At 50.8% G+C, this 20,620-nt stretch overlaps 1 protein-coding gene and 1 long non-coding RNA gene across 4 annotated transcripts in view; one reads left to right on the top strand and one right to left on the bottom strand.

Annotated features, from left to right (window-relative positions):
* The window catches only part of TEX29 (testis expressed 29), a 28,064-nt gene that overhangs the window by 7,158 nt on the left and 286 nt on the right, over positions 1-20,620 (bottom strand). For 2 of the 3 annotated variants that reach the window (XM_017020387.2, NM_001303133.1), the window contains exons 2-3: positions 16,143-16,234; positions 8,798-8,908 (exon numbers count right to left, since the gene is read on the bottom strand). In XM_017020387.2, coding sequence (XP_016875876.2) covers positions 8,798-8,908; positions 16,143-16,234 — 203 coding nt within the window. Of the gene's footprint in view, positions 1-8,797; positions 8,909-16,142; positions 16,235-16,328; positions 16,450-20,620 lie in introns of those variants that run through there. The other variant, NM_152324.3, reaches the window with a different exon arrangement.
* On the top strand, positions 17,399-18,149 carry LOC105370365 (uncharacterized). The gene is made up of 3 exons (XR_001750031.3): positions 17,399-17,515; positions 17,877-17,992; positions 18,087-18,149. It is a non-coding gene; the product is annotated as an uncharacterized LOC105370365 (long non-coding RNA).

Genomic DNA, 20,620 nt, shown 5'->3' with positions numbered 1-20,620 from the left:
AATTAAGAGCGTTCATGAGGCAAGAAGGTAACCCTGAAATTCTTGAACTCCAGGAAATGTTTTATTCCTTAGTATGAATTTGTGTCTTGGCTCATGGAATAAATTCAAAATTATGTGAGTGAAGTCCTGTTAAAGAGACACACATATTAGTCAGCGTCTTAGTATTTCACCGTCAGTACATCTCCCGTATCTTCCTACGTGCTCACGTTCTTTGTCGTTGATGCCAAGCTCCTAAAGATGGAGACTCAACCTCAATGATGCGCTCCGTACAGTGTCTGTCTAGCAACACTATTTATTACAGACCATATCTTTGGCTTATCATAAACCACAAAGTCTGGTTTATCTTTCAGAACAGCAGCAATTGAAGAAAGGATTATTTTCTTTAAGAAACGTCTTGGTAAATGTTCCCAAAATATAGTTAAACAAAAGTTTTGAAATCATCTCAGCAAGTCCCATGAAGAAACTGAAGTCAGATACTTGGAAGAAATGACATGTTAAATAACATACCCTAAATCAAGACTGAAGAATGAAGGCAAGTCTTTCTCTTTGAATTCCCAATTCTTTCTGAAAGATCTAATGCTAATTCCCAATTCATATTCTTAATAATACAGATTATGCCATAACACAATGTGCACTTCAAACCAGCCAATTTAAGAAGTTGGTGAAAGGTTTTCATAACATGGAATTATGTGCACAAAGAGCTCATAATACCCTGTCACTGAATACTACAACTTGCACAGCACAAAGGTTCATTCGTCGTTTTGAATGAGAAAGATGTCAAAGAAATGAAAAGTAATGTGAGGGCACAGTGAGAGCCCCAAGGCAGGGCCCACTGCCCAGGCTCTTCCTACAGGCCCGAAAGAAACCAGGAGTCAAGAAAAGCACAGTCACACAACCCAGCTGTTAAAGTTAGAATGATGGAAAGAACTTAATGGTTGCTTCCATGCAAAAATGATATACCCCCTTGCAAAACAGTGAGCCCTCTCCAAGTCAAAAACTTTCTTGAGAGCTTGTGTTCTCTTCTGGGTTCCTTATAACACCAGTCATGAAGCTGCTATAGGGATTAAGGCTCACTTTTAAAATGGATGACAGGCATGCGGCGATTGTTCTAACTTAAGCCATGTTCGACATACATGCCAACACTTACAAACAGGCCAGCACCTGCACGGTACAGATAAAAAGGTGCTCAGGGGATGGGAGAGGTGGCAAAAGCAGCGGCAGTAGCAGCTTGGACGTGAGTTCCCTTCCTCGCTGTGATCTTCCTGGAGTGATGCATTTACACCACTTTACACGGTTGGATCTCTGCTTCATTGGGATGTGAGGAAATTGGGATCACTAATCATTATATGGAGAAGATTGAAAGAATAAACTTAAATACCTTTTGGATGCTAACGATTGCCACTTTCAGGAGCCTTACATGGTACACTTCTCAGAAAAACTAAGTGGTATAAGTGCCTTGGAAACTGGAGTTCTGTAAGAAGTCCAACTCTATGATGGAAATGAACTGAGCACGACTGTGAGCATCTGCTGCTCTCTGCATGTGCAACGTGAGCAGCAAACCTCAATTTCACACAACAAAAACAAGATGATGACAAGTGCCAATGCAGCAAACCATGGCCAAGTCAGCACCCACTGCCATGAGCTTGGCTTCAGGAGTACTGCCACATGCCTCAGAGGACGAGCTGCTGGAATGAAGCCATATGAGAGGCCGTTCAACACTGGAAGGCCTGGAACCCAAAAAGATCTCTCAAGTAAGATTCTGGCTAAAGGGCATGGGTTTTACGATGAGACAGGTGAGTCAGGTGAAGGATAATGGACTCCTTCGGGAAAAAGCACTACATCTTGTAACTCTCACTAACTGATTATGTACAACCGGACTAGGGCTTCAGTAAAGCCCATAATTAACTTTCAGGGTGATACCAGCAAAAACAGCAGAGCGAGAACCCCCCTGCCAATTTCTTCCTCCATAAAAACAATGAGAACACTGGCAAAAATCACCAGAGGAAAGTTTTTCAGAAGTCTGGAAATTAACCAAAAGCTTGCAGAAATCTGTTTGTTTGAGGCAAACAGCTGAATCTCAGTAAAAGAGCAAGCTTGGACCTTTTATCTAGCCCTGTTCCCATCTCTCCTGCCCACCCTCCAGCTCCATGGTAGCTTGAAAATCAACAGCCTGTAATCATGGTAAAGCCAGCAGCCTGGCAGCCACTGCAGCGGGCAGAACAGGGTGGGACCTCCTTCAAAGCCCCATCGTCGGAGAGTTGTCATTATTTGATCTGTCTGGTGCTTCCTTGGAATATCAGCTTTATTTGATCTGAGCTCATTCGGTGAGAACAGCTTTTTCCCCAGGCATTTGTTATAAATAATCAGAAGCAACTGAAAATTGTTTTACTGGCTAAAGTGTTGGTTAGCAGTTGAGGGAAAACAAGAGGCTAACTAACAAGCTTAGCATGAAAATCTGGGAAATGAGATGTGCATAGAGAGCTCTGAAATGCTCTGTCACATTCCTGGGAATCTAGAGGGCCATGGACATGTCCAGTGCTGTGGGCTTTGCAAGGAAAGACCTATGGTGGCCCTGGGACCTCACTTCTGGCTGACTTAAGGATCTGCATAAGCAGGAAGTGAAAGCTAAGGCAGAGCTAGAAATATTCTGACTTTGTTGAAGGTGTGCCTCAGCACGCACACAGAACCCCTATGCAAAGTCTGAGAGGCTTGTGTTTCCAGGCATCTAAGGAATTTTTGTCTAGTAGCTACCCAAGAAGACTTTTTAGTGGTCACACACCACAAAGAATAAAGACTTTACTGAGTTAGTTCAGGAAAGTCATCAAACAACCACAACAACAAACAGCAGCAACAATAAAACCTGGGGAGGTGAAAGAACCCGATTCTCAGAGGTGCTATATTATCTTACCTAAAATGTCCAATTTTCAAGAAAGAAAAATGTCAAACATACAAAGAAATGAGAAAGTATGGCCATATACATAAAAAATGCCATTAATAGAAATCATCACTGAGGAAGCACAGACATTGGACTTACTTGACAAAGACTTTAAATCAACCATTTTAAGCATATTCAAAGAACTAGAAGAAATCATGTCTAAGGAACTAAATAAAAGTAAAAGGAAAATATTTTATTGATATGATTTGGCTCTGTGACCCACTCAAATCTCATCTCGAATTGTAATTCTCACATGTCAAGCGAGGGACCTGGTGGGAGGTGGTTGGCTCATGGGGGCAGTTTACTCCATGATAGTCTCATGATACTGAGTTCTCACAAGATCCGATGGTTTAAAAGTGTTTGGCAGTTCCCTTCCCACAACCTTGCTGCCACGTAAGACATGTCTTGCTTCACCTTTGCCTTCTGGCATGATTGTAAGTTTCCTGAGGCCTCCCTAGCCATGCAGAACTGTGAGTCAATTAAACCTCTTTCCTTTATAAATTACCCGGTCTTAGGTAGTTCTTTATAGCAGTGTAAAAAATGACTAATACATTCATCAAATAGAAGATATCAATAGAAATATAGACATTATTAAGACCAAAAAGAAATTCTGAAGTTGAGAGTACAATAACAGAAATGAAAATTCACTGGAGATGCTCAACAGCAGATTTGAGCAGGCAAAACAATCAGTAAACTTGAAGATAGGTCAATGAGGTTATCCAGTTTAAGTAACAGAAGGGAAGAAAATATAACCAAGAAAAATTAATACAGCCTTAGAGGTCTGTGGGATACCATAAAGTCTATCAAATACACATAATGAAAGTCCAGAGGGAGAGGAGAAAGATAACAGAAAGAATATTTGAAGAAATAATGGTAAAAACTTCCTAAGTTTGGTTAACATTAATCTATACATCCAAGAAGCTCAGTGAACTCTGAGTAGGATAAACTCAGAGAGATCCACACCCAGACACCTGGCAAACTGCAAAAGACAAAGAGAGAATCTTGAAAGCAGCATAAGAGAAGTGACACATTATATACAAAGGAGCCTTAAGATTTACAGCAGTTTCTCATCAGAAACCATGCAGGCCAGAAGGCAATGAGATAAAACATTCAAAGGGCTGTCAGGAAGACTATCAACCAGCAATTTTATATACAGCAACTCTATGCTTCAAAATTGAAGGGTAAATTAAGACATTCCAGATAAACAAAGTCAGGATATTCATCTCTGGCAAAGCTTCTTTATACGAAATACCAAAGGGAGTCTCTTAGGATGAAATGAAAGAAAAGTAGACAGTAAGTCAAATCCACATGAAGTAATAAAGAGCACCATTAAGGTGCTCAATAGATGCAGAAAAAGAATTTGAAAAAAAAATCCAACACCCTTTCATGATAAAAACACTCAACAAAGCAGGAAGAGAAGGGAGCTTTCTCAACTCGTGTGTTTCCAAGTTGTATCTTGCATTTACTATTAATAGATACATGGCATCTAGTAAAACCCACAGTTACCACTGTATTTAATGGTGAAACACTGAAAGTTTCTTCTTAAGATCAGGAACAAGACAAAGCTTCTGCTCTTCCTAGTTCTATTCATCATTGTACTGGAGGTTTTAGTCAGAAACTAGGCAAGAAAATGAACTAAAAGGCATTCAGATTAGGAAAAAAGAAGTAAAACTATATTTTCAGATGCCATGATCTTGTATGCAAAAAATCCTAAGGAATCAACTAGAAAACTAATAGAATGAGCAAGTTCAACAAGGTTGCCAGATACAAGATCAGCATACAAAAATCAATTATATTTCTATATGCTGGCAATAGACAATCTGAAAATGAACAAAACAATTCCATTTATAGTAACATTAAAAACAGTAAAATACTTTGGAATAAATTTAATTTAAAAAGCTCAAGATCAGTACACTGAAAACTATAAAATATTGAAAAAAATTAAAGACCGAAATAAATAGAAAGACTACCCCTGTTCATGGACCAGAACACTTAATATTGTGTTAAGATGGCAATACTTCCCAAATTATATACAGATTCAACACAACCCCAATCAAATTGCCAAAGGACCTCTTTTCTGCAGAAATTGACAAGCTAAATTTGATCTGGAAATGCAAGGGACCCATAACAGCCAAAATAATCTTGAAAAAGAAGAACAAAGTTGAAGCACTCACACATTCTGATTTCAAAATTTACTGCAAAGCTACAGTAATCAAAACTGTGGCACCGGCTAAGGATAGACATATAGATGAACAGAATAGAATTGAGAATCTAGAAATAAACTCTCATTTTTATGGGCAACTGATTCTCAACAAGGGTGTCAACTTAATCAGGGAAAAAGAATCTTCTCAACAAATGATGCTGGGACAACTGAATATCCATATGCAAAATAATGAAGTTGGAAACCTTCCTTGCACCAGATACAAAAGTTAACTCAAAAAGGATAAAAAGACCAAAATGTAAGAGTTATAAGTATAAAACTCTTAGAAGATATTACAGGTATAAATATTTGCAACCTTGGATTAGGCAATGGTTTCTTAGATGTGACACCAAAGCACAAGCAACAAAAGGAAAAATGGATAAAATGGACTTCATAAAAATTAAAAATATTTGTGCTTCAAAGGACACTATCAAGAAAAAGAAAAGACATGTAAGAGAATAATAGAAAGTATTTGCAAGTCACATTTCTAATAAGAGTTTAATATCTAGAATATATAAAGAACCCATACAACTCCATAATAAAAAGACAATTAACCCAATTTAAAACTGGGCAAAGGACTTGAATAGACTTTTCTTCCAGAGAAGATATCCAAATAGCCAAAAAAAAAAAAAAAAAAAATGCAACAATGGTGAACATCATTATTCATTAGAATAATATGAATCAAAACCACAATGAGATACAACTTCACACCCATTACAATGGCTGTAAACAAAAGGACCACAACAAGTGTTGGCAAGAATGTGGAGAAATTGGAACTCGCATACGCTGCTGATTGGACTGGAAAATGATCTAGCCACCTTGCAAAACAGTTGGGAAGTTCCCTAAAAATTTAAGCATAGAGTTAACATATGATCCAGCAATTCCACCCCTAGGAATATACCCAAGAGAATAAAAAACATGTTTGCACAAAAACCTATATACAAATGTTCTGAGCAGCATCATTTATAATAGCCAAAAAGTGGAAACAACCCACATGTCTATAAACCGATAGATGGGTCAACAAAATGCGGCATACCTATACAGTGGACAATGACTCCGCAATAAACAGAAAGGAAGTACTGATAGCTACTACAACACGAACGAACCTTGAGAACTACGTGAGTGAAAGAACCACAAATCATGTGGTTCCATTTATATGAAATGTCCATAATACGGAAGTCCATAGACAGATGAGTGGCTGCCAGGGGCCAGAGAGAGGGAAGGATAGGACACGACTGCTAATGGGCGTGAGGGTTCTTTCTGGAGTGGTACAAATGTTCTGGAGTTAGTGGTGATGACTGTACAACTGTGAATATACTAAAAGCCACTGAATTGTATACTTTAAAAGGTGAATTTTATGGTATAGTATCTTGGTAAAAATAATAGCTGAAGCAATTTCCAACCGATTTTATCTGTAGTCAGAGGAAGGCGTGAGATCCTGGGAATCCCAGAGGCTCCTGGAAGTGGAGGCTGGGACAGCGAGGGGTCTGGTCCCGAGTCTCTAAAGCCAGGATCTGCAGGAGCCGTCGTCATCAGAAAACCTTCCCAACTATCAGTGGTATCCATTGTGACCTCTCATTTGTCTCTGAGGAGCGAAAATTCATCTTCTTTTGATGAGGTGCCAAATCCTCACCACGAAGCAGGACAGACACCCTCTCTGGAGCAAGCCAGAATCCCATCAGCACTTTCTTTCTTGACTGATTTTGTGCCCAGAATATCCCTTTCATCTCAGAGGAGCTGGCTTAAGGCTTTACGTCTGTAGGACTGGGCAGTCCCCACGTAATCAAACAGTGTAGCCTGAAAATGAGTTTTAAAACTTTTTTTTTCCTTTTTCTCTTCTTCCCCTAGTCTCACGATGCAGAAAGCTTACTGCAAAAAACTTTTGTTCTCCTTAGTCTTAAAATATAGCCTTGAAATGTACTTTCTTTGCAACACCATGGTCTCCCTTTCTCACCACGCGCCCCCTAGCCCCATGCACATTTATCTAACTGTGTGCTGGTATTTAATTATGGGCTTACTTACAAGTTCTAGGGGCTCATCTTGAGATAGACCAAGCATAGAGAACCAGCTGCAAAATGCCAGAGATCACCTGAAGGCGGTGAGTCTACAACCAGCCATCAAGATGATGACACCTCCCGCTCCAGGTGGGCTGTGGCTTGCGACAGCCACTGGAACGAGACCCTCAGACCTTGTAGAAGCACCCCTCCCATGTGCCTCCCATTCTGAGTGCCTCTTTTTAAGCCCCTCTTCCCAGCCTAAAGTTGGAAGCGCAAGTCAGCCACTTCCCCACTGCTAGCTTTGGAAATAAAGTCACTTTCCCTTCATTTGTTACAGGCTTTGCAAGCGGTGAGCAGCCAAGCTTGTGCTAGGTTCCACCAGCAGGTCACTACTTGGAAATTTCCATCAGTCACTCATTCCCATCAGTCACTAACGTTTCCCGACTTTCTAAGCCCTACTAGATACAGGGAACGAAGAGGACCTGGTGCCTGGTCTCTGAAGGCTCAGTCTAGCGGGAAATGCAGGAGAAAGAAGTAAAAGGAAGAAGAAGTGGCCCTGAGCTGCACAAAGCCAGGGGCCTTTACTCACTTTGGGGTGGTGGGGGTGGAGAAAAGAGTGGCTTAGGACAGGGAGGGTTTGGAACTCATCTCCAAGGAAGCCTAGAGCTGTGAGAGCTCATCAGCCACGTCCATCATCTCCACCGGTAAGGGCTGCACTGTTCCCTCCCGAGGGCGTGCTGTGCAGGCTGCTCCCCTCCGTGCTGCTGTCCACCCCTCCCCACGCAGCACAAAGAGCCCCTTTACCCTCATTTCCAAAAGGGGCCTCCACAGGACAAGGAAACACATGAAGCTTCACGTGGACCTTGATGAGGGTTTGGAAATGAGAAGACCTCAGCGGCGCAGGCCAGTGCACTCACAGGCGAGAATATGCTGAGGAGGTGGGAGCCCAACGCCCTTCACGCGCAGGCCATCCTGGTTTCTTAACCTTCTCCCACCTCCCTTCGAACACATTTTACAACTAGCCATGGTCCTCTGAAGGGCGCGCCTCCCTCCGGAAGCCTTCACGGGGATGGGGAGTGGCAACGCCTCCGGCGCCCTTACCCACCCACTGGTTGCCTGTTGTCCTCACTTCACCCCGTGCTGCTTGAGGGGCTTCCAGCAGATCCTCACGTCTGGTCTGGCTTCTAGTCTGACGTTGAAGCAGCCCACGGAATCCCCAGTCAGGGCCAAGCTCACAGAGCCCCTGGTGGACAAGGTCCGCTCCACCCTGATGGGCTCACCCCACACCCGGCCACTGGCCCGGGCCCTGCCGGCGCCCCATGTTTCTGCAGCACTATTTCCCCAAATCCAGCCTCTGCAACCACCCAGAATGGCCAAATTCCTCCATGAAGGGGGCCTCCATTTGTCCCCGTCCATGCCCTGCTCAGCCCATCTGGGAATGGAACCCCTATGGTGGCTTACGTCACATTCACAGGCCCTCCAGCCCAAACCCCACTCCAAGTCTACTGTCCCCACTAAGACGGAGCAGAAGAGTTGGCCAGAGAACAATACAAAGGTGTTTCCAGCAAACAGAGACCCCGAGGAAGGGAGACAGGCAGGGCAGTGGTCGGCATGGTCACCAGCTACCTCGGCTTCCGCCACGGGGTGGCCGGGGCGTCTACTCACTGGGAACCGCTTTCTTGTAGCAGACGCCTTCGTAGAAGCAGCACCCGAGCTCCTGGCATCGGTCCCTGGAGACGTTGTAGTCACAAATGTCATACAGAGGAACGTCACACACTGCAAAAGCACAGACATACACAAGTGTCACCCCCGAAAACAAAGCCACTCTGCTCTCCGCTAAAGAACCTGGGAACCGGTGTGGGGAGCAGCTGTGGGTTTGTGTTGTGGTTTTGTTATTTTCTCAATTACGCATCCTGCAAATCTTTATTTGAAACTAAGATCCAGAATGAATTAAATTTCTGAGCAAAATAATGTCAAGTTAATTACACAGAATAATGCAGGGGCCTCTAACGATTAGGAGATAATACATTTCCGCGCAGCAGCGCCAGGCACGGCGCACGACAGAGCCCACAGAAGCGCGGGGCTCACACAATGGCTGCTTGGGAGTTCGGGAGGGAACGTGTAATTATTTCACACTTAAGCATACAGGAGTTAGAATTAGCAGCATGGCCTGAGGATTATTTCAGAATTTTAAAACTTGAATCAAAAGGACAGAAAGTTTAATGCCAGTTTTGACCCAAAGGGAGAAAAAGGGAAGACAATGAGTGTGCGGCGCGCCGTGGGAGGTAAAGGAAGCAGGGCGGGGAGAGCTCCTGGCAGACGACCCTTTCCAGAGGAGTTCAGCAGCCTCACACATGTTCAGCCCCGAGGGATGTGGCTGCCTTGATCGGCCATGGGCCACCGAGGGACTGGGCTGGATGATGAAGGGGGTTCCTGCAGGTGAGGGCCCAGGGTGCCCGCAGAGACCTTTGCTGGGTGGACTGCAGTCCCACAAAGCCAGGCTCCATGCCCCAGGCCAAGGCTGCACCCAAGCCACTGGGGGTCTTCCCTGGCCCCTCTGTAAGTTGTTCCACTGGGACAGGGGCCGGGAGGGGAGCTGCCCGGCCTTCTTGACCCTTGAGGAGCCCCATTTGTGTTCCTTAGGGTTGATTTAGTCTTTCAGGTTCCCCTTCTCAAGACACCCCCATTCCAGGTTTGCAAATGCTGCGGCTGCAGCCCTCATCCTCTGTCAGAAGCATCATGGACACGGGAGCCCTGCCGAGGCGATGCCGCACCTGCCAAGGCAGAGTGCACAGGGCAGGCTGAAGTCACCGGCTGCTGCCACCCTCTCCTCCCTCAGTTGCATGGGGTGGCTGTGTGTGATTTGAGCTGACCTACCATGTAGGGAGAGGTCGGGGGAGGCCGGAAGAGGCCCCATAGCAGCAGGCAGGTACTGCACAGCCAGGCTCAGAGGGGCCTGGGGTGGGTGACTGGTCTCGGGCTGTGGCTGGCCAGATGGTCCCCCACGTTCTATGCAGCAGCCCATGTGTCTACAGTGGGTGACTAGGAGGGCTTTGCTCCCAGGGCATCCAGGCACCACGGCCTTTTTCCTGGAGTGCAATTCCAGGGTGGACACAGCGCCAGAACTTCACAAACACTACCCACAGAGTCCGCCACTGCCTCCACTTTCTGACGCAGGTGATGACAGCAGCTGCACAGCAAACACCCGCCAGCGCCAGGATCGCACTGCCCGCAGTCTCCTCCACCCCACCAGACACCCGCCAGCGCCAGGCTCACGTTGCCCGCAGTCTCCACCCCACCAGACAGGCTCGCACTGCCCGTGGTCTCCTCCACCCCACCAGACAGGCTCGCACTGCCCGCAGTCTCTTCCACCCGACCAGACACCCGCCAGCACCAGGCTCGCGTTGCCCGCAGTCTCCACCCCACCAGACAGCCTCGCGCTGCCCGTGGTCTCCTCCACCCCACCAGACAGGCTCGCACTGCCCGCAGTCTCTTCCACCCCACCAGACACCCACCAGCGCCAGGCTCACGCTGCCCACCGTCTCCTCCACCCCACCAGACAGCCTCACGCTGCCCGCGGTCTCCTCCACCCCACCAGACACCCACCAGCCCCAGGCTCGCGTTGCCCGCAGTCTCCACCCCACCAGACAGGCTCACACTGCCCGCAGTCTCTTCCACCCCACCAGACACCCACCAGCGCCAGGCTCGCGTTGCCCGCAGTCTCCACCCCACCAGACAGGCTCACACTGCCCGCAGTCTCCTCCACCCCAGCAGACACCAGCCAGCACCCAGCTCGTGATGCCCGAACGCTCTTCCACCCCATCTGGGAAGATCCAGACGAAACCCAAGATCCCACCAGCTTGGACGCAGCGGAGCCGGGATCCACAGAGACCTCTGGCTTCAGGGTCCTGCTGTCTCCACAGTGCCAGGCGCCCTCCCCACCGTCCCCAGACACGGGAGGAGAAGCCCCAGCAGCACAGAGGCATCTGCTCACAGAGCCAGGAGAACAAAGGTTTCTGAAGACTTGCTCCAGGTGACAGCGGATGTTTAATTTCAGCAAACAGACTGGGCAGGAAATATGCCACTGAACGAAGCATTATTTTTATTCATAAAGTGATTTGTTCTCTTCAATATCACTACACAAACGTTCATACATTCTTTCTCATTTTAAAAGTTCAGTCCCCATCGCATCTGACCGCCCAGCCGTCGAATCCCGGCAGTCCTCCCGCGCCTCCTCCGGTGTCCCATTTTCCCTCCACACCCACCGTTATTTTCCTGCACGCACCTCCACAATGTCGCCATGCATTTTAAAAATCCAGTAGACCCTGAAAAGTCTCTCACGCATTTCCATTCCTAGCCCGGCCCTCCACCCTCCTCCACAACCCCTAACAGGCTTTGAGGTTGGAGTAAGCTGAGGCTTTCTGGGCAGGCACCAGGTCACAGCTGCCAAGGGGGCCGAGGTGGGCTTCCCACATGGTGGGGGATCGGCAGGGCTGATGCAGCTCCCTGCTCCCTCTAGAAACATCACTGGCAGCTCGCCCACTGCACAGGTACTGGACTCCCGGCCACTGGCACCAGCAGTGGTATCTCCAGTAGGCCCTCCACACCCCCCACACCACAGCCAGGACGGCTGGAGCGCAGGGCTCACTGCCTGGCTCTCTCCCTGTGCTCTCCCAGAGTCATGACAGCGTGGCTGGGAAGAGGGAGAGGAGCCATCGGCTGGGCCAGGCTAGGGGAACGGGGAGGCGCTGCCTCAGGATGGCGGGGCAACCACGTTCTTCCTGATCTACTGAAACGAGACTGGGGTTAAACCAATCAATCTAAAATGAGCCGAGTGCTTCCTGGGAGAAGCCACCCTGGCTGAGGGGTGCCAGGTGAGATGGGGGCCCGTGGAGTGAGGTTTCAAAGCTCATCCCATGAATCTGTCCCGTCACCCCGTCTGCGTGGATAGCAAGCCCAGGGAAGCCACCGCTCCCCAGGGACAGTGGGGCTGCCATTCATTCCCTCGCTCATCCCACTTCCCGCCAGCCACCTCCTGAGGCTTCTAACACGCCCACGCCAGCACGGTGGTAAACGTTCCGTTATTTTTCTCCAAGGCCATGGAAAGTCTCTTCACTCTGCATTTTGCTGCTTCTGCAGCAGGAGAGGAAAGGTTCAGGAGGGGCATGGTGCCTAGAGAGGTGCAGATCTGAGGCCAGGGCTTTCCGACCCAGGCAGTGAGGCATCATCGTTTTAAACGTGGCTGATGATCCAGGTGGGGAGGCGTCACCATTTTAAGTGTGGCTGACGATTCCCTGGCGTTTCTCCTTCCTGTGCTCCATCCACCTCCCTTGCCCTCTCTCTGTGAAACGCACACTTGCAGGAATTCTTCCTAGGGGAGGAGTCAAGCCCAGAGACTCTCTCAGGGCAGCGCCGGGTCCTCAGTGTGACTCCCCATCCAAGTCCCTCTGCCACCTCGTTTCCCGATGAAGCAGTCAATTAGCAGGGGACAGACCATGGTCGCCTCCTGGAGAAGCAGCTGGCAGACTCAGCAGCCATGACCTCACAGCACCGTGGAGGCTTCCAGCACTTCTGAGGCTCAGCTTCCCTGCTGGGAGCTGCTCCCCTAGAAAGGCAGGCATCAGGCTGGCCTCCAGGGGACACCTCCAAGCCACACTGCCCGGCGGCCCACTAGAATGTCCCAGCTGAGGGTTCCTGGCAGCGTGGCCACGGACAGCAAGACCCAACCACAGACAGGTTTCCAAAGATGGTCCAGGCGGGAAGAGAAGACAAGATTCTGAGTACAGTGGTGACAGGAAATGTGTGGGAACTCCAGAGACGTGCCTGCGGTCACGATTGCCACCAGCACCCCCAGGACCTTCAGCGGGCCCAGACTGCACACCCCTTTCTGTCTGTGAGCTGTGACACCACCTGGAATCCGGCTGAATGTGTCTTCACAGCAGATGTCATAAACAACATAAAAATCTCTGAACCTGGAGACCCATTTTCTTGACACTGAGCTTGAAGCTGCATGTCAAGTTATCTTTGGACAGAAGACACCAGTTCTCCCGGAGTTTGAGCATCAGAACACGGAAGGAGAGGTGAGAAGGAGGAGGAGGAGGAAGCTGGGCAGGGATCACAGCAGGTTCAGGGAGCTGGCATGGTGTGTGCAGAGGCTCGTGTGTGTGGCCTTCCTGCCTGGAGCGCGTGTGAACCACGGATGGGGATCTGGGGCGTGCAGGGCCACGGATCCCTGTGTGTGCAGAGGCTCATGTGTGTGGCCTTCCTGCCTGGAGCACGTGTGAACCACGGATGGGGATCTGGGGTGTGCAGGACCACAGATCCCGGGGATTCGGACACAGAGAGTCCAAATATGTCCACAGACCCCCGAGCCTGTGGAGAAGAAGCAGTGGCTTCGAGTCCCCACTCTTTCATACAAGCCACTCAGAGAAGAACTCACACCGGTGTGGAAAGTGTGTCACAGTTTAAAAGCACTTTTGCAGAAACTATTTTATTTAGGGAGAGAATTGACATTAATCTTTAGGCAGCAGCTGACAGGCAGCAGCCGAGGCTGTATCCCCGCAGTAAGGCAGAGCCTCCAGCCAGGGCTGAGTGGCCCCACACACGCCTCTTCCCCAGGGGCCACCTGTCATCCTCCCATCCTCATTTCCGCTCTTTCACCCCCAGGTCACCCGCCATCCAGGGCCATGTGAACATGGTGCCCTGGGAGCCAGCCTCAGGCCATCACCTGCTAGGGGGCTGTCTGGAGGCCCAGCTGCCTCCTGTCCCGGATGAGTGAGTGTGGACATGGGGAAGCCCAGCAGGGCTGCGTGGAAGGGGAGGCGTGCAGGGCTCTGCACCCACATGGGAAGAGGCTGCAGAGTGGGTGGGCTTGGAGGCCAGAGTCTGCACTGCACCCGGCCACAGAGTCTCTTCCACATCTGCAAAGTTGCGCAGAGAAGGACAGGAGGAATTCCTCTAGGCTGCTTCTTGGGTTCAGACCCAGGGGTGGGTGGCAGAGAGGGCCTGAGCTGCAGGGCCAGGGCCAGCCACTGTGGCTAAAGGTTCCAGCTCCCCACCTGCCCGCTGAGGCCACCGGTGGTGCTGACACCTGAGCCAACTCCAAGCCAGGAAGACCCTGACCTTGTCATTTCACAGCCTCCCTACACCCCTAAAGGAATAGAAACAGTTGCAAAACAGCCACGCCACAGTGTGCAAAGAATGATAAAGACAATGCTGACGCCCCTGCATGCGTTCTTCAGTTCACGAGGACAGGCTGTGTGGGGAGCACACAGGAGTGTCGCCTGCAGACACCAGGAGCTGGGTCCTGGGCATGGCCATGGCAAGGTGAGATGACTCCAGCCCAGGGTCAGCTTGGGCAGTGCCTTGGGTGACCTGGCACACCTGAGATGACCCCCACCAGTCCCATGCACCCTGAGAAGTGGCACCAGCCTCCAGCAGCCCCTGACAGCCCCTCACAGACGGGGTGGCCAGGCCCAGCAGCAGCAGCTTGTACACACAACAGCTGCACTGCTTACAGCCCTGAAGCAGAAACCAGGAGGGTGGCCCCCAAGGGCCTGGAAGAGGGAGCGCTTTCTCCCCCGTGCTTGCCCTGGCTACAGGCCATCTTGCCAGAATATGAGAGGGGCCACCCCAGCCGTCCACAAGAGCGGCCCGTTCCCTCGGGGCCCCAGGCGCAGGCCTCCCACTCCACCCTGGGTGCATCTGGATAGGGAACTGCAAAGACCCCTCTTGTGGACACCCCTCTTCCTGTCCAAAGAGATAGCTGCCCCCCTGGTGTGACAAAGTCTGGTGGCCTGGTGGCCTTGGAAGGCCTCGCAGTCTGGCAGATGCCACACATTCCTGGCACCTGGGCCGCCCTGTCCCGCTGCGAGAGCTGCAGGGCCAGGTGCTGCTGTGGGCAGGTGCTCAGTGGCTGCCAGCATCTTGGCCAGCCTGAGAGGTGCTCCCTAGCCTACCTTCCCAACAAAGGTAACAACCCAAAACAATCTAATTTGTTTTCTTTTTCTTCCATTTTCTTGGTTTGTTTGTTTTTGAGGCGGAGTCTCGCTTTGTCGCCCAGGCTGGAGTGGAGTGGCACAATCTCAGCTCACTGCAATCTCTGCCTCCCGGGTTCAAGTGATTCTCCTGCCTCAGCCTTCCAAGTAGCTGGGATTACAGGCAACCCGCCACCACGCTCGGCTAATTTTTGTATTTTTAGTAGAGATGGGGTTTCGCCATGTTGGCCAGGCTGGTCTGGAACTCCTGACCTCAGGTGGCCCACCTGCCTTGGCTTCTCAAAGTGCTGGGATTACAGGCCACCACGCCCATCCGATTTTCTTGGGTTTTTTTTTGTTTTTGTTGTTGTTGTTTTATAAAAGCATTGCATGAACACAAGATCCATTGAGAAAAAAACATTCAAGTAGCAGGTAAACCTGAGCCATGGAAGGTGGCATCTCCTGCCTCCCGGGGGAGGTGCAAACTTCCAGAATCTTCCTTTTCCTGACCATAAGTCACTGTCATCCCCCATCTATGCACATTAACGGCACCTGTGGGAGAAGCCACATCCCACACCGGTGGTTCCTTCCAGTCCCAGTGGTGAGTGTCTGCCTCCGGGTCAGTTGCCCGGGTGGGGAAAGGGAAGGTGGAACTTCTTCATTGCTGATAAATATTTTTCCTTAATTAAAAAAGTCACTCCTGCAATAAAAGTTATGAAGTAGTTGAAGTGGATCTTCAGCGCCTCATGGACAAAATGCCTTTGACCTGTTAAAGCCCTGGAAATAGTTAAATGTATTTCTTCATCTAGAAAACCTCAGGTTCGGGTGTATTTTGTAATAAAATTTTCAAAAATGAAGTCTTCACAGCGTTTTCCCAGGTTATTTCCTGAACACACATTTTGCTGCCTTGCCCTCCTAGCCAGGTCTGGGACCAGGACCCCCTGTCCGCGCCAGGGGCTCAAACAGCTCCTCCCTGTGCCCCCCCCCAACTGCTCCCCCACCCCACCCGCCCCCCTGGCGCCTTCCCTCCATACCTGTGAATTGCTTCAGGAGGTGCCGCGGAGAGTTCTTCACTTCCAGCACGTATTCCATTGCTGCAGCTGACAGATGAAGGGGCCGAGCACACCTGGAAAACAGGAGAGGTCAGCACGGGCGGGGCCCTGGGGACGTCGTTTGGGGAGCGGGCGGCTCACACCAGGAGGGGGCGTTCATCGACTCACCTGCGCCTCACATCCCAGGCGGGTCCCCTCAGCCACCTGTGCCTCTCAGTCCCACTCCACGTGGAAAACACCTTTTAGGTAAAACAACAAACTGGCCACCCCTCTGTCTGCCGCTCACTATGGACTGTGGGACCAGGCTGGGCACACACCACCCCGCCCGCTGTGACATCACACAGCCTCATGAGGTCACGTGGGCGTCACACAGGACTTCGGAGCCGTGTGCGTGTCCACCTTGACACTGGCTGCATTGAGGACGAAGGCCACTCAGATGAACAGATGTAGGGAGGGAGTTCCAGGGGCAAGACGCTGCTGGGGACACCATGGGCTGAGTCCCACCTTCCCTGCAGGATACCCCCGCCCCTTGCCCACCAAGCCTGTGGGCACAGGTGCTTGAGTCCTGTCCCTCCCTTCCTTTGTGTCCCGGTCCTTCCTGGGACACCCCTCTCTGCCAGCCAGCACTGGGTGCAGCAGAGAACAAAACCAAATCCCTTCCCTCCTGGGGAGAGGACAGAGTGACGTAGCTGCCTCGGACCAGGCCCGGGCCGTGGGGAGAAGGCAAACTCAGGGCGTGGGCCAGGCTGGATCAGGGCAGGGGTTGCCCCTTGCCACAGGGTGGGCAGGCGGCCTCCAGGGAGGAAGGTGTGTCTGGGGCTGACGAGGGAGCATGCAGAGGTCCTGGGGGGAGGCTGGTGTGGCGACTTGAGAGACACAAGGAGCCGAGATGCCGCAGGAGGGCAGGGCATGAAACCACATGGGTCATGGTGAGGATGGTGGCCTTTATTCTGAGCAAAGTAGGGAGTTACTAGCAGATTTTGTGCGAGAAATGGAATCATTTTCACAGCATCACTCTGCTGTGCTGGAAACGGCTGTCGGGAGGTTTGTGAGCAGGAAGGACGGGATACTCATGAGGAAGAAGGCAGGCAACTGCCGGAGGGGGCTGCTACTTTTCATGGTTTGAGTTGAAGGAGTGGGCCTTGCATAATGGTGCGCACCTGTAATCCCAGAATCTTGGTAGGGCAAGGCGGGAGGATCGCTTGAGACTGGGAGGTCAAGGTTGCGGTGAGCTGTGATTGCACCACTGCACCCCAGCCAGGGCAACAGAGGGAGACACTGTGTCAATCAACTAATCAATTAATAAGAGTGGCGGACGGCTTGGATGTGGAGAGCAAGAGAAGAAAAAGTCAATGGTGAGCCGAGGACGCTGCTGGGGGGCTGGAGGCTGGTGCTGTGGGCATCAGGTGGACAGAGGAGGCATCTAGGGGACACGCCCAGGAAGCATACACATACACGCAATTTGGGTTGATGTGTCTGAATTTTTCATGTTGCAGAAGGTTCACCTGCTATGTAGCACGTGTCAGAGCTTCATTCCTTCTCACGACTGAATAATATCCCACTGCAGGGACATGCCACATTTCGCTTAGTCATTCGTCTGTGGATGGGCACTGGGTTGGGCCAACATTTTGGCTTTTATGAATAATGCTGTTGGGAACACTCAATGTAAGTTTCTGTGTGGACGTAGATTTTCACTTATCCTTGGTATATCCCTAGGAGTGGAATTGCCGGGTCACACGCTGGGAAGAACCCAATGTTTGTGTCCTCCCAAAATGCACAAGTCAAAATCCCAACCCTCAAGATGATGGGATTAGGAGGCGAGGCCTTGGAAGGTGAGGAGGTCGTGAGGGTGAAGCCTCACGAATGGGAATCGTGCCCCCATTAAAGAGGCCTCAGAGAGCTCCCTCGCCTCTTCTTCCACATGAGGACCCAGTGAGAAGGCGCCGGATATGAGCCAGGAAGGGGACTTCGGAGGACAGCAAATCTGCCACACCTCCATCTAGAACTTCCAGCCCCCAGAAGTGTGAGCAAAAAGTGTCCGCTGTTTATAAGCCACCCAGGCTGTGGCATTTTTGTTACAGTCCAGATGGGCTATGACATACAGGAATTCTGTTTCACCCTCTGAGGACCTGCCAGGCTATTTTACAAAGTGGCTGCACCATTTCACGTTCCCACCAGCATTGCGTGCAGGCTCCCAGGCAGAGACACTGCTTCTCTCTCCTGGGAACTGTCACCTACAGCAGGCACCAACCTGGGCAGCAGTCGGCTGGAGAACCACGTCATCAATGAGCTTCCGGGGAAGGAGTGGAGACAGATGAGCCTGCAGTGTGGTCATTGCCAGGACTGAGCCAGCACCGGGAAGCTGCGGGAGCCACTGGCTGGGGGCGGCAGGGACTGCCCCAGACTCACAGGGAGAGGGGTGTTCACCAAGGGCTTCTAGGGAGAGGCCACGCCGTGGAAGAGTGAAACCCAGCAGGCCACAGGACGGAGCAGCCAGCATGGACTCAGCTCTGTCTATATGGGTCCTGAGTCCCGTTCCCACGTGATAACCAGTGACTACACTGACAGACACAATTTTAGCTAAGAGCAAGATGTTTGCAGGGGTAGACTGTGCAGTCTTCCCATGGGAATGTGTGGAGCTGCCGTGGGGTTCTTTGGAAATAGGACAAGTGCCACGGGGACCCGTTACCTCTGAGGACCCCTAACTATGAAGCTATTAACCCTGTAACGGACTTGGCTAACAACTTGAGCAAAGCACTCAGACCTGACTCCCAGCAGAGCAGCTCAGCCAGGCTGAGAGCAGGGGATTCGGGGGGCTCCTAGACAGGGGTGTGAGTCCAGTTTCCCCATCACCACAGGCTGAACTGTGTTTCCTCAAAAAAGAGATGTTGAAGTCCTAACCCCTAGGACCTAAGGATGAGGGCTTATTTGGAAATAGGGTCTTTGCCGATGTAATCGAGCTGAGGTTGTAAGCGTGGCCCTGTCCAATAGGACCGGTGTCCTATTAAGATGAGAAGAGAGAGACACCGGGAGGGTGTCAAGTGCAGGCGCAGAGGCCCGGGGAGGGGACGGACGGCTGTGCAGCAACAGAGGTGAAGAAGGAGCAAGGCGCCTGCGAGCCCCGGAACACGGAGGACTGCCAGCAGCCCTGGGGTGGGAGGGGCAGGAGGGCCCTCCCCAGAACCCTCGGCCCACGTCCTGACTTCAGATTGTGGCCGCAGAGCCAGCGAGAAGAAAGCTCTGCTGTTGGCGCCATGTCGGTGCTGCTGTGTGAAAGCAGCCGCAGGAAGCAAACACGCCCGTGTTGATGACTTCGCTGGGACAATAAACCGAGCAAAGATACTTCCAAATCTTCAACACCTGTCCAGTATTCCCATTAGAAAGCAACCCCAAATAAAACAACACGAAGGCCGGAGGAGCACGCCAGGTCTGTCACACTGTAGACTGGAGGTGGGCCTGGGGACACACCAGAGCCTGTGGCCCCCACCCTGAGCACCAGGGCACCAGAGGGCAACGCCATCTCAGGCCTGGCTTTCCTGCATTCCCTACATGCTGCTGCCAACCACACAAGACAGCTGATTCCATTTACACCCAAATCCTTCGCCACAGCATGGGGTGACAGCAGGCCACCAACTTCACAGGCAGACCCTCACCCCTACGGCCTCAGAGTGGACGGCTCCCGGGATGATTCCTCACTCCGTGAAGCTGTTGGCGGAGAATGTTACACGGCAGCATCACCACCCACAGGCCTCCTCCCAGCTACTAGATGCCAGCCACCTTTCTTTACGAATAAAATACGTTAATTAAATATTGCATCTAAATAAGTGATCTGGGTTGGCTCTGTGTCCCCACCCAAATCTCATCTCGAATTGTAATCCCCACATGTCAAGAGAGGGACGTGGTGGGGGGTGATTGGACCGTGGGGGTGGTTTCCCCCAGGCTGTTCTCATGATAGTGAGTTCTCATGATACAGCTGATGGTTTTAAAGTGTGGCACTTCCTTACCTTCTCACCACCTTGTGAAGGTGCCTTGCCTCCCCTTCCCCTTCTGCCATGATTGTAAGTTTCCTGAGGCCTCCTCAGCCATGTGGAACCGTGAGTCAATTAAACCTCTTTCCTTTGTAAATTACCCAGTCTCAGGTAGTATCTTTATAGCAGTGTGAAACAGACTCATACAGTAAGAAAGAAATTAAAACAGCATCAATTTCAGCCCAGCCAGAGCCCAGACAATGTGCATCCGGTATTTGGAAAAGGGAAAAGCGAGGGTCCTTGAAGGATTCTGTGTGTGCGGCAGCACTGGTTTCACTCTGTTCTCAGCCACTGTGGACAGCACTTTTTGACACCCGGGCCCAGCGTTACACTCCCTGGCCCTTGCCCTTTGGTCATGGAATTCCAGCAATGTCTGGAAAACATTGGAAATAACTGGCACTTTCTAACTCAGAAGTGCCAGGAAATGCCACC

This window comes from Homo sapiens, chromosome 13 (assembly GCF_000001405.40).
Source record: "Homo sapiens chromosome 13, GRCh38.p14 Primary Assembly".
NCBI classification, from domain to species: Eukaryota; Metazoa; Chordata; class Mammalia; order Primates; family Hominidae; genus Homo; species Homo sapiens.
The sequence above is the reverse complement of the archived record's forward strand: the minus strand, read 5'-3'. Positions and strand labels throughout refer to the sequence as shown.